This window comes from Homo sapiens, chromosome 11 (genome assembly GCF_000001405.40).
Source record: "Homo sapiens chromosome 11, GRCh38.p14 Primary Assembly".
Taxonomy (NCBI): domain Eukaryota; kingdom Metazoa; phylum Chordata; class Mammalia; order Primates; family Hominidae; genus Homo; species Homo sapiens.
The window spans coordinates 126,269,067-126,282,638 of record NC_000011.10 but is presented as its reverse complement, the minus strand read 5'-3'; the positions used below and the strand labels follow the sequence as shown (position 1 = coordinate 126,282,638).

The following is a 13,572-nucleotide window of genomic DNA, read 5'->3' as shown; positions in this document are numbered from 1 at the left end:
GGGGCTGCAGTGTGGGAGGGGCAGACCCGGGCGGCAGCTGGGAAGCCAGGCCGCAGCGGCCGCCAGTTCCCGTCCCAGACACTGGTTGATGCCGAGGAGGGTGGAAACCCCGTCTTCTGCCAAAGTGCTTTCTTTGCTTCTCTAAGCGGTGATCCCACATGGGCGTTATGAACAGCGCTGCAGTATGCTGCAGAGCCGCTGCAAACAGCGTGGTGTAGGCAAGATGCTGGAAGTCCTGGGTGAAAGAGATGCCTTTGCCTCCCACTTCTGAGAGCTCTTCAGATGTTCGTGAGCGCTGTGAAGCACCTTGGGGAGAAGGGAACGGAGCATTCCCCACACTTGTTTCACTCTACAAGAAATGTGAATGTCTTCCTGAGCGTCTTGCTCCAGGCCATGCCAGTTTGGGAAACCCTATCCTAAAACTATGTGCACGAAATGCTGGAGAGTGGAGGTAGTTTAATTAGGCCATGTAAGATTCATGATCTCCCCCTCCAATTTGATTTCCTCCTTTTCTCACCAGCCCGCCAAAGCGGATGAGCTGCCCATCCTGGGAGGGCTCTGGAGTCAACTGCCTGGGTTCACAACCAGCGCTCATCGCTTACTAGTTGTGTGGCCTTGGTGAAGTCACGCAACTTTTCTAGGCTTGCTTCCTTCATCACATTATGGTATCTGGTTGCTGGTGTTCTTGCAAGGATTAGTCTACATAAAGTAGATCAGGCACTTGGCACTGCACCCAAATGCCCAGTTTGCTTTGACTCTACCTGACTCTACCAAGTACACCTCCGCCCAGGGCCCTCCTTTTCCCCAGCTCCGCTCTGCAAAACGCCCTTCTTCTAGCAAGGCCTATTTTTGGGGTTTTTTTGTTTCCTTTTTCTTTTTTTTCCCATCACACGGGTAACAACCCTTAACAAGGTTTAAGGGAGGCACACCTCACACATGTGCGTGAACACCCAGTCATCTTGCTTATGAGCTACAAAGGGATCAAGGCCCATTTTTGCAGCTTATTCAGGAAAGCTTTGCTTAACCCAGCCCTTCCCACCTCCATCCCTCAAAGGCCATAGTGCTTTTCATTGTAAAGAGCCTGTGCTCTGCTGCTTATCTCCCACTTTAGAGTAAAAATTCCCCGAGGCCAGGGATGGTTCTTCAGGCTCCAGCCAGAGCAGAAGGACACTCGAGGAACACTCAGATAAACAGGCCTTGACGGCGCCAAGTATGGGCCAAGTGTTGGGGCAGCTGAGTGTCAGGCAAGGATGAAGAAGGCTTGGTCCCAGCTCTGCACAGCTCAGGGGGGAAGACAGATGCACGGAGGCGATGGTAAGGGCTTGCCCACAGCTTGAAGTACAGCCCTGTGGGAGGACAGGAGAGTTGCTCAGTGCTTTTTTTTTTTTTTTGAGATGGAGTTTCACTCTTGTTGCCCAGGCTGGAGTGCAATGGCGCAATCTCAGCTCACTGCAACCTCCGCCTCCAGGGTTCAAGCAATTCTCCTGCCTCTGCCTCCTGAGTAGCTGGAATTACAGGCACACGCCACCATGCCCGGCTAATTTTGTATTTTTACTAGAGACAGGAGTTCTCCGTGTTGGTCAGGCTGGTCTCGAACTCCTGACCTGAGGTGATCTGCCCACCTCCGCCTCCCAAAGTGCTGGGATTACAGGCCTCAGTGCTTCTTAATAAACATAGTACTCAGTGTGTGGAAGGGAGCAGCTTCTGGGTGAGAAACACTTGAAGGCCTTTTCCCTTTTGCCCTGAGATTGGAATGTCCGTGCTGAAGGGAGCAACTGGCTGGCACCTAGGGGAACTTCACAGGGTCAACCCGGATGTCAGCTTGTCCCTCCTGCGTATCCCTGGCAAGTTCCTTCCTGTCTTTCAGCACCGCCTTCTTCCTCTTCTGGCTTCCGCCTTAGGCCTGGCCCCCTCACCCCAACCTCAGGGGCTTCTGCTGTTACCTCACTGGTAGCACATCTCCTCCCCTGCCATTAGTAAAGCCCACCTCCATCATTTCTTCCCTCCCTTTCATCCTTCTCCACAAAGGCCACTTTTTCTGTTGTCGTTTTTTGTTTTTGAGATAGGGTCTTACTCCTTCACCCAGGCTGGAGTGCAGTGGTGCCTCACAGCTCACTGCAGCCTCAACCTCCAAGGCTCAAGTGATCCTCCTGCCTCAGCCTCCCACGTATTAATAGCTGGGACTACAGGTGCATGCCACCACGCTTGGCTAATTTTTGTATTTTTTGTAGAGACAGGATTTTGCCATGTTGCCCAAGCTGGTCTCGAACTCGTAGGCTCAAGCGATCTTCCCACCTCGGCCTCCCAGAGTCCTGGGATTACAACTGTGAGCCACCGCGCCCGATCCCAAAGGCCACTTTCAAGGCGGAGTGGGCAGTTTACCAGCTGTTTCTATTCCCATTCACTTCTCCTGTGCAAGTGTCCAGACCTTAAATTCCACTGAAACTGCTCTTCTCGAGTGAGGCCACCACTGACCTACTTGGGACCGAATCCAGCAGGCACCGTGATCACTTCCTCCTTAGCTTCACGACACCACACTCTCCTGGCTTTTCTCCTGTCTCTGTGGGCACCTCTTCAGTGTCCCCTTCTCTGGTCTGTCCCTTAAATGTTGGTGGGGTCCCTCCAGCTTCCCTCCTTGGCCCCCTACTCTACCCTCTGGGGTGATGCCATCCTGTTCCATGATGTCCACATCACTATCTACAGCCCAGATCATCCCCCAAGGACCATGCCAATCAGCCCAACCCCCTATTTGAGGGATGTCCTACAGGTACCCTCATTCACCACATCCCAGACTGCACCATTCACTCTGTCCCTCACTCCGCTCCTCCCTGGTGCTCCTCATCTCTGGGAGGGGTAGAACCTCCATCCAGAAACCTGGCCATGCGACTTAACCCACTTCTTGTTGCTGGCGTCACCCTGGGATCCATCTGATTCTTGCCATGATGGTTCAGGCACTCCCTGTCCCTGCCACACAGACTGCAACCACAGCCTCCATCTGGCCTCCTTGCTGCCTGCCTTGACATCCTCATCTGCTCTCCACAGGGTCACCCAGGTGATTCTTCTAAAAGGAAAATCCGATCGTGTTGCTCCTGTTTAAAACCCCTCAGTGGCTCTAGTTCCTCTTCTCGCACTCCACGATCCAGGCAGAAACAGTCACACTGAATCCTGCTGTGGTCTGAATGTTGGTGTCCTCCCTAAAGTCCTATGTTGGAACCTGATACCCAATGTGATAGTGTTAAGAGGCGGGGCTTTTGGGGACGTGATTAAGTCATGTGGACTCTACCCTCATGAAAGGGACGAGTGTTCTTAGAAGAGGTTGAAAGAAGTTGCCTTACCCCTTCTGCCATGTGAGGATGCAGTGAGAAAGCACCATCTTCGAAGCAGAAAGCAGGCCTTTACTAGACATTGAATCTGCTGGTGCCTTGATCTTGGACTTCCCAGTGTCTAGAACTGTGAGCAATACATCTCTATTATTTATAAATTACCCAGTCTAGGATATGTTGTGATAGCTGCCCAAGTGGACTAGGACAAATCCCTGAATCGTATTAATTCTTGTCTCTGGACCTTTACATATGGTTTGCCCTCAGCCTGGATCCTCCCTTAGCCACCTTGCATTCACTTCACTAAATGCCCATCCTTTAGGTTCAGCTCAGAGGTCAACTTCCCTCGAGGAGCTTCATGGAGAAACCCCTTTGCCACCCTCTTAGTCCCACCCTGGGTGAGGTGTCTGTGTTGTGTGCTTATGCCAGCACTGTGGGGGTCACACTGTATCTGATCTAGGGGTGAAGGGCTAGGAGGTGCAGGGCTATGAAAGTTCCAGCAAAGACATGACTATGTTTTGCTTGCTGGTGTATCTCAACATGTGACCCTGACCCTGGCCAACAGCTGGGCTGAATAAATTTTGGTAGAATAGATGGACAAACCCATCCCTCTTCTTTACAACCAAACTCCCTGCAGGAACTCAGGAATGGGAGGCACTTGCTTACAAGCAAGTGCCTACCACCTAGGATCTAAGAAGGACTCTGTCTGCCATCTTGGAGCCTGTGGAGGCTTGCTGGGAACAGGAAGGCTGTGGTCCAAGGCCATTTTTGCTGGCTGTACATGGGGTTTCCAGAACCAAAGGGGGCACACAGCTCTTCTTAAAATTTCAGCATTTATGCCTGGGATAAACTGAATTCTATTTGGGCAAGAGATGTGCTCATGTACACAAAGCAAAGAACCACACAGCGACTTCTGGTGGCACACCAAACAAAACCAGAGTAATCTGGGAAAAAGTAACTTGGGTTCACGGAAACAGTGGCATGGTTTATGCCAAATTCCCAATCTTCCTGCTAAGACTACAGACACACAATCTGTGTGATACTGCACCGCTCAAGGATTTAACTAATGAAAGGTGGGTTTGTGCTCGTGTTTTGTTTTTTTTTAAAAAAACTCCCTGTACTGGTATAAGGCTAATGGGGTGCTTCAAAAGCTCCTGCTGTACAATGAAAAGAAGAGACAGAAGACTGGAGGGAAGGAGTTAATTACATGTATTGATTAATGGATAGGGTAAACAGACGAAAATCAATAAACCTGAGCCAGGCTGCCCCAGAGTGCTCCCATGCCTGGGCTCTGTCTGCTAAGAGGGTCAGAGGCAGTCTTTCCTGGTCAGTGCCAGGATGAAGCCAGTCCTGGGCCAGGGTGCTCAGGCCTCCAGATGGATTGCCCTGGTGGGTGACATCAGCATGGGCTACAGATCAGTCCTAGGATCCCGCTCATCACTCGCTATTGGCCTCGGCCTCACTGCCTGTGCCTGCCCAGCCATATGGGTGCAATGGCCTGCCTGAGAGGAGAGGACACTGGGGAGGGGGAGAAGGCCTGGCACAGTACTGGGGAAGATGGAAGCAGCAAACAAGGCTGTGAACACAGCCAGGATGCAAGCCAGTGGAGCCAGTGCAGAGCACACATGCTCAGATGATGTTGTTCTCCTGGATCTTCTCTCCCAAGTAAAAGCGGGTAAAGAGGAAGGGGCTCAGGTCGATGGTCTGGAACCTGCCCTTCAGTACCATCTCTGCTACAGCTCGCCCAATGCCAGGGGCCTGCTGGAGCCCGTGACCACTGAAGCCAGTAGCAAAGTACATGTTGACAACTAGCGGGTGGGGGCCCACCACGCCATTCTGGTCAAAGGTGTTGTAGTCGTAATAGCCGGCCCAGGCGCTCTGAACCTGCGGGTGCACAAAACACTGGGGTTCTCGGGAAGGCTGTAGCCACACTCCATCCTCACTCCCCTCAGGGCTCAGCACAGAGTACCCTCTACCTGCTGCTGAGGGGTCTATGGGATGGGATGTGTCCAAGAAATTCCTTAGCAGTTGTGACATGGAGGGACTACGGCAGTCACGGGTCCGAGGGGACCAATGTGCTCCACTGTCATCTGTCCCATCCAATGTCCAAAAATAAAAAGGAAAACCAGCCCTTGCCAGTTACCTTCAGAGTCTCAAAAGCTGGGACCCTCAGGGCCAAATGGGGCCACACCTTGTCCTGGAAGAAATCATGGTCCACTTCCAGGTTCGCCGGGTCCGGTTCTTCCTGCTGGAGTGAGAGGTGGGGACAACGCTTACATTGCCTGGGACACAAGGACAGGCCCAGACTTGTTTAACAATCCCTGTGCAGGTAGGGGATGGGGAGAAATGGTCCCAGTTCAAATCTGGAGGGGGCTCTAATATCAATTAACACAGCACACAGCCCCCCAAAAAAGGCTGATTCTTTTTCTTTTTTTTTTTTTTGAGATGGAGTTTTGCTCTTGTTGCCCAGGCTGGAGTGCAATGGCGCAATCTTGGCTCACTGCAACCTCAGCCTCCCGGGTTCCAGTGATTCTCCTGCCTCAGCCTCCCAAGTAGCTGGGATTACAGGCGCCCAGCACCACGCCCAGCTAAGTTTTGTATTTTTAGTAGAGACGGGGTTTTGCCATGTTGGTCAGGCTGGTCTCAAACTCCTAACCTCAGGTGATCCACCTGCCTTGGCCTCCCAAAATGCCAAGATTACAGGCATGAGCTACTGTGCCTGGCCAAAAGCCTGATTGTTTCGTGACAATTATTCTATGTCTCCTTGCCAGCATGTCCCACCCCACTCAGCTTACCTCAGTGGGGCTACGACCACCTAGGTAGTTGCTACCTAATCCTTCCCGGCGAAAATAGGCTCCACTGGTGTCTGCAACAAGCGGAGTCTCTAGGCCTGGTCCCTGGGGGCAGTGCCACACATACACATACCTGCCACAACCAGTGCGGTTACGAACTGCAGAAACAGCATGGCCGGCAACCCTCCCCAACCCTGTCCACCCCACACCCCACACACACACACACACACACACACACACGCTATCCAACTTCGATGTCATTTCTTTCTTTCTCACCAACCTCCTCAGCTGTCCGGAGGGCAGTTACCTTTTCCTCGGCTCCACAGGTAGCTTGGTGCCCTGCAGGGTGCCAGGCGGCCCCTCTCCAACACCAGCCAGTGCTGCGATTTGCGCAGACCAGGCTCCGGCTGCGTTGATCACAATGGCGCATTCCACAGGCTGGTACTCCAGGCTGCGGTCCATCTTCACCTGCAGACACCAGAGGGTGAGGAGTGGGAAGGCCCGGACCACACACCAGGCACCCTGAGAGATGCACTGCTTCCTGAGCCTTAGTTTACCCATACTGGAAAGTGGGTCAAAGAAAACCAAAACAAGGAGAGTCACTACCTTCCCTGTCCCTCCATTTTGGTAAAGGACATCACAGACTAGAAACTTACATGGACTTCATGGATCCTTTTCAAGACCACCGCTTTGTCATCTGTGGTCAACATGCGTTGAGATGAAGAGACAAAACCTGCAGAGAAGAAAATGAAAAATAGGCCGTAGAGGTGCTGAAGAGGAATGAAATGGGGATTTCACTGGTTTCTTAAGGAAAGAAAGCTGGAAGGATGGGAGCTTTCCCACAGACACTGAAGCAAACAGAGATGAGGGAGCTGGCATGAGCTTGGCCACACTCTGACAGGACAGTGCTCAGGTGCAATCATCAAGCAGATCACAAGTCACAACGCAGATCAGTGAGGAGCCCAGGTCAAGATGCCTAGGACCTGCTCTCAGGGAGACCCCTTTCCCCCTCCAGCCCTTGCTTAGCTTGTGAGTGAGAAGATAAGACCTAGTCTAGGCCTATGCCCCGGTTGCTAGAGGAAACAAGCTCAGACTCACGTGTCACCTCTCCCTGGCAGAAAAGGACTCCCAAGGACTGGACCTTTCGCCGAAGCCCCTGGAGCAGACACCAGGGGTCAAACCAACCTTCGTCCTCCATCCCTGTGATAAGAAAAAGAGAACTCACAAAGAGGGATGAGGACTTCTGCTCTTGGATTGTATTTCCTGTGCCCCCCAACCCCTCTCTAGGGCTTGTAAGCCGGGGAAGGTCATCTTAACCAACTGAACCACAGAGACAAAGCCTGATGAAGGACAGAGAACTACCACGGCCCAGGGCAGTTCCCGTGACACAGGAGGGAAGTGTTCCTCCTTCAGCTTGGCTGTGGAGTACCGAGACTCCCAACGTGTAGCACCCCTTAGTCTCCATCTTCAGGAAAAAAGCTGTCCCCTCTGCAAGCAAGCCTCACCATAAGACGCCAAAGCCACTCCCTCTGTGTTTATCCAGGGAAACTTGTTCCGAAGCTGATCAGGAGACATCAGAGAAACTTTGGCTCCCTCCTGCCTGAGATAAACGTGTGGGTCGGTGTATGTGTGTCAGAGAGGGGAGTGTGCAGGGGGATGATGTATGGACCCCAACTCCACAAGTGGGGAGTCCAGCTCAGTCATGTCACTTCTCTGCCCCAAATGCCCCTATTTTTCCTCATTGCTGAGCGGCTGAAGACCAAGCCTCCTAGTCAGGCTCTTCAGCCTTGACTGCCTTTCCTTCCCTACTCCCTTGTCTCCCTTCAGCACACAGAGCTCCCTGCTATCCCAGTCTATTCCATGACTTCTTTTTTTTTTTTTCAATGAGTCTGGCTCTGTCACCCAGGCTGGAGTGCAGTGGCGCGATCTTGGCTCACTGCAACCTCCTCCTCCCGGGTTCAAGCGATTCTCCTGCTTCAGCCTCTGGAGTAGCTGGGACTACAGGCACACGCCACCACACCCAGCTAATTTTTGTATTTTTAGTAGAGATGAGGTTTCACCAGTTGGCCAGGCTGGTCTCGAACTCCTGACCTCAGGTGTTCCATCTGCCGTGGCCTCCCAAAATGCTGGGATTACAGGCATGAGACACTGCACCCAGCCTATTCCATGAACTTTCACAACAAGGTGGTAACCTTGTTCCCTCCACTCCTGCCTGGATCCACCTCCTCTCCACTCCTTGTACAATCCTGTTCCTGAGCACAGGTATCTCCTCTGGGACACTGTCCCTCAAAGGCAGCATAGCGGACACACCAACAGAACACTCACAAGCCAGACTGCTGGCTTCAAATAAGATCCTACCGCCACCACTTACTAGCGCCTTATGCCTCAGTTTCCTCATATGTAAAATGGGGATGTTCTGATGATTAAATGAGTTAATATCTGTACAGCATTTAGGATATTAATTGATGTCACTCTGAGACTTGGGTGTTTGTTAAATAAACATACAAATAAAGCCTCTGGCCATATTGCATCACAAACATGCCCACCCTCACCTGACCATGAGAATCACTTAGAGCAGGGGTTGCCAAATCCGACCTGCTGCCTGTTTTCATAAATGAGCCACACTCCTTCATTTGCACTTTTGTCTATGGCTGCTTTCATGCTGTGATAGCAAAGTGGTTGGAATAGAGACTGTATGGCCAGCAAAACCTAAAATATATACTATCTGGCCCTTTACAGAAAAAGTTTGCTAACTCCTGACTTAAGGTTCTTGTTAAAAACCCAGATTTGTGGGCTCCTTCCCTAGAGATTCTGGTTTATTAGGTCTGGGATGTGTTCCAGGTGGTTTTCATGATCTGACAAATTAGGAAGCACCTCGCAGTGTTTTGTCCATATCTGTGGTACAGCACTCCCAGGGCATTGCAGGTCTGTGTATTTTCTTCCTGACACACTGAGGTCCTAGACCGCAGGGATCTGTCTTATCAACTCCACTTTCTCGCTTCCTAACCTGGTGCAGGAGTCACCCAACACCTTTGGCTGCCAAGCAGCTAAGAGGCTGTGCCAGGCACCCACCTCTGCACTTTCACGTTGCTCTCCATGGCTGCAGCATCCTTTTCTGAAGCCAGCAAGAGGTAGCCCGAGGGGTTGAACCGGAGGTCCAGGGGAGGAGCATCGACTACGGCCAGGTACTCCTGTGTGCAGACAGAAGCTCCTGAAAGAAACTGACTTAAGGATGCCAGAAAGAGTTTTCCTGCCTTCTTCCCCCACAGCTCCCCAGGCTCAGTGCCCCAGACCTGCGGCACCACCACTAGGAAGAAGGCCAGGGCCCCCCTCTCCTAGTTGGCTGACCCATTCTTGCTCTCTGGCTACCTTGCTAGCTGGGCTGCTCCCCACTCTGGGCTAAAGGAGGGGTAACCACCCCAACATCCCGGATATCATTGCACCTACATTGATGTTCCGTAGAAAGCTGGCTGAAAAGAGGGAGAGCTGGATGTTCTCAGGCAATGAGAACTGCTGACAAATCCCACCTACTGAGAGCCCAGTGGAGGCCTGTGAATACTGTGGAAAGACAAGAAAAGTTGAGGTAGACCAGTACCCTATCACATGTGACTAGAATACTGCAATGAAAGCTTCGAGCTATACACCTAAAGTTGAAGGGGAGTCCTATTTGCAAGTCTATAATCTAAGACCCATGTGTAAGTCAACTTGAAGGCAATGGTGTTTAAAATCATTAGTAGTGGATGTGCAGAGCAGAGAGGGTCAGTCATCTGGAAAGAGCTGACACAGTGGTACAAAATGGTAATGGCCTGGAAGTCCAAGGGCAGGCGATTAACGTTTGACCTACCATTTGGGAAATGAAAGGTTATGATTGAAGTAAAGTAGCAAGACTCGTGGCTAGCTGGCAATGCAAACAGGAACACCTAAAGTGTAAAAACCAGCCGGGTGGGTGGCTCATGCCTGTAATCCCAGCACTTTGGGAGGCCGAGGCGGGCTGATTGCTTGAGTTCAGGAATCTGAGACCAGCTGGGCAACGTGGCAAAACCCCATTTCTACAAAAAATACAGAAATTAGCCAGGTGTGGTGGTGCATGCCTGTGGTCCCAGCTACTCTGGAGGCTAAGGTGGGAGGACCACTTGAGCCTGGGAGGTGGAGGTTATACCGTACTCCAGCCTGGGCAACAGAGCGAGACCCTGTCTCGAAATAAATAAATACAATAAAATGCAAAAAACCTCAGAAGTAACGGGACCCAAAAGAAGCAAGTTGAGGGCTGGGAATGGTGGCTCATGCCTGTAATCCCAGCACTTTGAGAAGCCAAGGCGGGCAGATCACTTGAGGTTCGGAGTTCAAGACCAGCCTAGGCAACATGGTGAAACCTCATCTCTACTAAAAATACAAAAAATAGCTGGGCATCAGGGTGTGTCCCTGTAATCTCAGCTACTCAGGGGGCGGAGGTGGGATAATCACTTGAACCTGGGAGGTGGAGGTTGCAGTGAGCTGAGATTGTGCCATTGCACTCCAGCCTGGGTGACAGAGCAAGACTCTGTCTCAAAAAAAAAAAAAAAAAGAGAAAATTGAGACACTTAATTATAGCTTGAATGCAGGCTCTCATGACCAGAGCTATGAGATCTCGAAAAATCCAATATGGTGATATCTGCTTTCAAAAGAACAAACCTTATTGCCAAGCTTCCTGGTTCGACTGAGGAAGATCCTAGGAAAATTTCTCAACAAAGTCCAAAGCACAATCTCTGTCCGTTGGACCCTCCGAGATTGAGGTCTTCCCCTCCTCTCCTTCCCTTGTCGCTAGAGTCCTTAATAAAATGAGTCATCTTTCTTGCCCCACTCATGACTCTGCCCTACCCCAGACCTCACCGTGTGGTCCCGTTCCACCACTAGCACTCGAATAGCACCTCGTCTGCTCTCCAGCTTCTTCAGCCAATAGGCCACAGACAAGCCAAGCACCCCACCTCCCACGATCACCACATCCGAGTGCTCGGGAGGCAGGTGGCTGGTGTCTTGCAGTAGATCACAGGACCTTCCAGGCAGGATCGACTTGATCTTCTTCTTAATCTCAGACACCTTTCCATCCCAGTCTGTGGGATGTAGTTAGGGTCAGAGGGCCAAACATTTCCTTCCCACATGGTTGGGGGGTTGGAGGATGGGCACAGGAAAAGGTGAGCTAAACAGACACATGAGTTGGCAGTCCCCACTGTCAGCCCATCTCATAAGGTCACCTTGCACCCAACAGTGTTGCCACAGTTTTCTGAATAGTCCACATGCCATCAGTCTCTTCATGCATTGTGCCAAGCACTGCAAGATTCAATTTCCTAAAATTAATTTTCTACATTACCTCCTGCATAGACCTCTCCTGATCCCAACTCACATATTCAACTGCACTGTCATCCCCACTTGGGTCTTCCAGGCCTTGGACCAAGAGGCCCTGGCACACCCCAAGTCACGGCACCCTCTGAAGCATGTCACCGCTAAGCGGTGCCATGCTTATCCTGGATATCCATCACCACCACCAAACCTACATTTATATCCTATCCATAATCAAGTTCTGCGGGCTCCGGCTTCCAAGTAACTCCTCAATCTGTCCCCTTTCTTCCTCTGCCACCATCATCCTAGGCCAAGCCACTATCATCTCTCAACTGGACAAATGCAAAAGCATCCTAACTGTTCCCACTGATTCCCCGCTTCCATCCTACCCCCTGCTGTGAACATGTTTACAATATAGCTAGAAATATCTTTTCAAAACACAAATTTAATCACAAACCCTCTTGCTTAAAACCCTCCAATGAGTTTTCCATTACTCTAAGAACCAAAGTCCAAAGACTTAAACACAGCCTGTAAGATACTGCACAATCTGGCTTCTGTTCATCTTATCCTCCCCTACACTCCAGGCCCTTTAGTTCCTTGATGGCACCTTATTTCCTCCCACCACAGGGAACCTACATATGCTCTCTGCTTTTAAACTGTGTCCACTTCCTTGCCTAGTTAATTCCTTGCTTGGGAAAGCCTTTCCTGACCCCCAGACCAGGTCAAACTCTACATGATCTCTTGGACACAACTGCAGTTTGTATTGTTACATACTCTAAAATCCATGAGGGGGGAGGCTGTGTTTACCTTCACCACTGAATCTCCAGCCTATCGCAACACCCGGCATATTCTAAGTGCTCAGTAAGTATCTTAAATAAATGAATCCTTTTGCCATTTCATACCTCACTCAAACTCTTCTCAGCAGCACTGGAATCTTTCTTTGGTCTGGCCTTAGCTTACCTGTCCACACTACATTTCATGCTACTACTCACACCGTCTATCTAGATGGCTTTTGCCAGTTCCTTGCATAAGAACAATATTTTTCTCCTAGTCTGCACTCAGTTATTTAGAGACTGGAACACACACCTTTCTTAAGCCAGTAAACATCCTCCAAGGCTGATCTCAGTTCCCACCTGCTCCATGTACTTCTACCGTTATACTAGCTAGCAGTGCAAAGCATTAAGTTGAGTTCTAGCTAATCTTTTTTTTTTTTTTTTTTTTTTTGAGACGGAGTTTCGCTAAGTCGCCCAGGCTGGAGTGCAATGGCATGATCTCGGCTCATTGCAACCTTCGCCTTCCGGGTTCAAGCGATTCTCCTGCCTCAGCCTCCCGAGTACCTGGGATTACAGGAGCCCACCACCACACCTAGCTAATTTTTGTATTTTTAGTAGAGACGGTGTTTCACCATGTTGGTCAGGTTGCTCTCGAACTCTTGAGCTCAGGTGATCCACCCGCCTCGACCTCCCAAAGTGCTAGGATTACAGGCCCCGCGCCCGGCCTCTATCCAGTCTTGAACTGGCCTACTGTCTATTGAAATTTTCCCTCTCTAGGTACACTCTAGCCATTTTCCAGAACATTCACTGAATCCCGTCTTCTCTTCACTCCTTTACCGCAACAGCACTAAGTACAGCATCCTGAACACGGGCAGGACTTAATGCACATCTGTGCCACCGATTATCAATCAGTCTGACTGTAAGCTTAAATGGAGAATGATGTGAGACCTGCCACCTGAAAAGGGCCGCCTTGGGAGCCATACACCTGCACAGCCCCTACAAGCTCTGGTAGGTAAGCTAACCCCCTTCCCCAAGCCGACCCACTGTCCTGCCAGTGTGGGCCATGGTTTCGGGTCCTGAAGGACACACAGTCGGAGGTTGGGGACAACCCAGAACCACAATACCCTCTGTCGTCCTCAACTTTACCCAGAGAAAAGCCTCCTCTGCGCGTGCCTGGCCTCCGGGTCAAGAGGCCCCGGCCCATGCCGTGCGGCAGAACCCTCCGAATCATAACCCCTCTGAGCCCGGACCCTCTGAAAGCTGCACTGCTGCCTCGCTATTATCGCAGCCGTCACTGCTCCGCGCCAAACGCCATTCAGACGAGCGCGCCAATTGGCCAGCGGCCCTCAGGGCTCTGCCCCGCCCAATGCT

At 51.1% G+C, this 13,572-nt stretch overlaps 1 protein-coding gene and 2 pseudogenes across 23 annotated transcripts, besides 2 other annotated features; 1 reads left to right on the top strand and 2 right to left on the bottom strand.

Moving 5' to 3' along the window:
* Positions 885–982, bottom strand: LOC124902838 (uncharacterized; annotated as a pseudogene).
* On the top strand, positions 4,064–4,437 carry RPL35AP26 (ribosomal protein L35a pseudogene 26; annotated as a pseudogene).
* On the bottom strand, positions 4,513–13,485 carry FOXRED1 (FAD dependent oxidoreductase domain containing 1). 23 transcript variants are annotated; one of them, NR_037648.2, is made up of 11 exons: positions 13,224–13,485; positions 10,982–11,202; positions 9,560–9,670; positions 9,185–9,303; positions 7,618–7,712; positions 7,211–7,312; positions 6,769–6,845; positions 6,420–6,580; positions 6,116–6,245; positions 5,464–5,568; positions 4,513–5,204 (listed from the first exon to the last, which is right to left on the bottom strand). NR_037648.2 is itself a non-coding variant. In XM_047427252.1 (11 exons), exons 1-11 carry the CDS (start codon positions 13,264–13,266, stop codon positions 4,950–4,952), a joined length of 1,416 nt encoding a protein of 471 aa, XP_047283208.1. In that variant the 5' UTR covers positions 13,267–13,485; the 3' UTR covers positions 4,513–4,949. The 23 variants fall into 23 exon arrangements, 20 of the variants coding, with proteins under 20 accessions (XP_047283208.1, NP_001412099.1, NP_001412089.1 ...); NR_189143.1 differs by having other exon boundaries at positions 6,116–6,186; positions 13,348–13,485; XM_047427252.1 differs by having other exon boundaries at positions 5,464–5,565.
* Positions 4,943–5,107: a silencer, noted in NCBI's record as "fragment chr11:126147427-126147591 (GRCh37/hg19 assembly coordinates)". NCBI's record gives its function as "represses an EF-1alpha promoter that drives an FKBP-Casp9 reporter gene in an ReSE screen in K562 erythroleukemia cells {active_cell/tissue: K562}" and the evidence as "EXISTENCE:reporter gene assay evidence [ECO:0000049][PMID:32094911]".
* Positions 13,192–13,461: an enhancer, noted in NCBI's record as "active region_5705". NCBI's record gives its function as "activates an Ori minimal core promoter by ATAC-STARR-seq in GM12878 lymphoblastoid cells {active_cell/tissue: GM12878}" and the evidence as "EXISTENCE:reporter gene assay evidence [ECO:0000049][PMID:35858748]".

Excerpts from the sequence above, each read along its gene's own strand:
- FOXRED1 (NM_001425160.1), bottom strand. The coding sequence starts at position 13,432 with ATGATTCGGAGGGTTCTGCCGCACGGCATGGGCCGGGGCCTCTTGACC. Across the intron at positions 9,671-10,981 it reads TGGTGGAACGGGACCACACG|TATTCACAGGCCTCCACTGG; the intron begins GTGAGGTCTGGG and ends GTCTTTCCACAG. Across the intron at positions 6,581-6,768 it reads AAAGGATCCATGAAGTCCAT|GTGAAGATGGACCGCAGCCT; the intron begins GTAAGTTTCTAG and ends TGGTGTCTGCAG.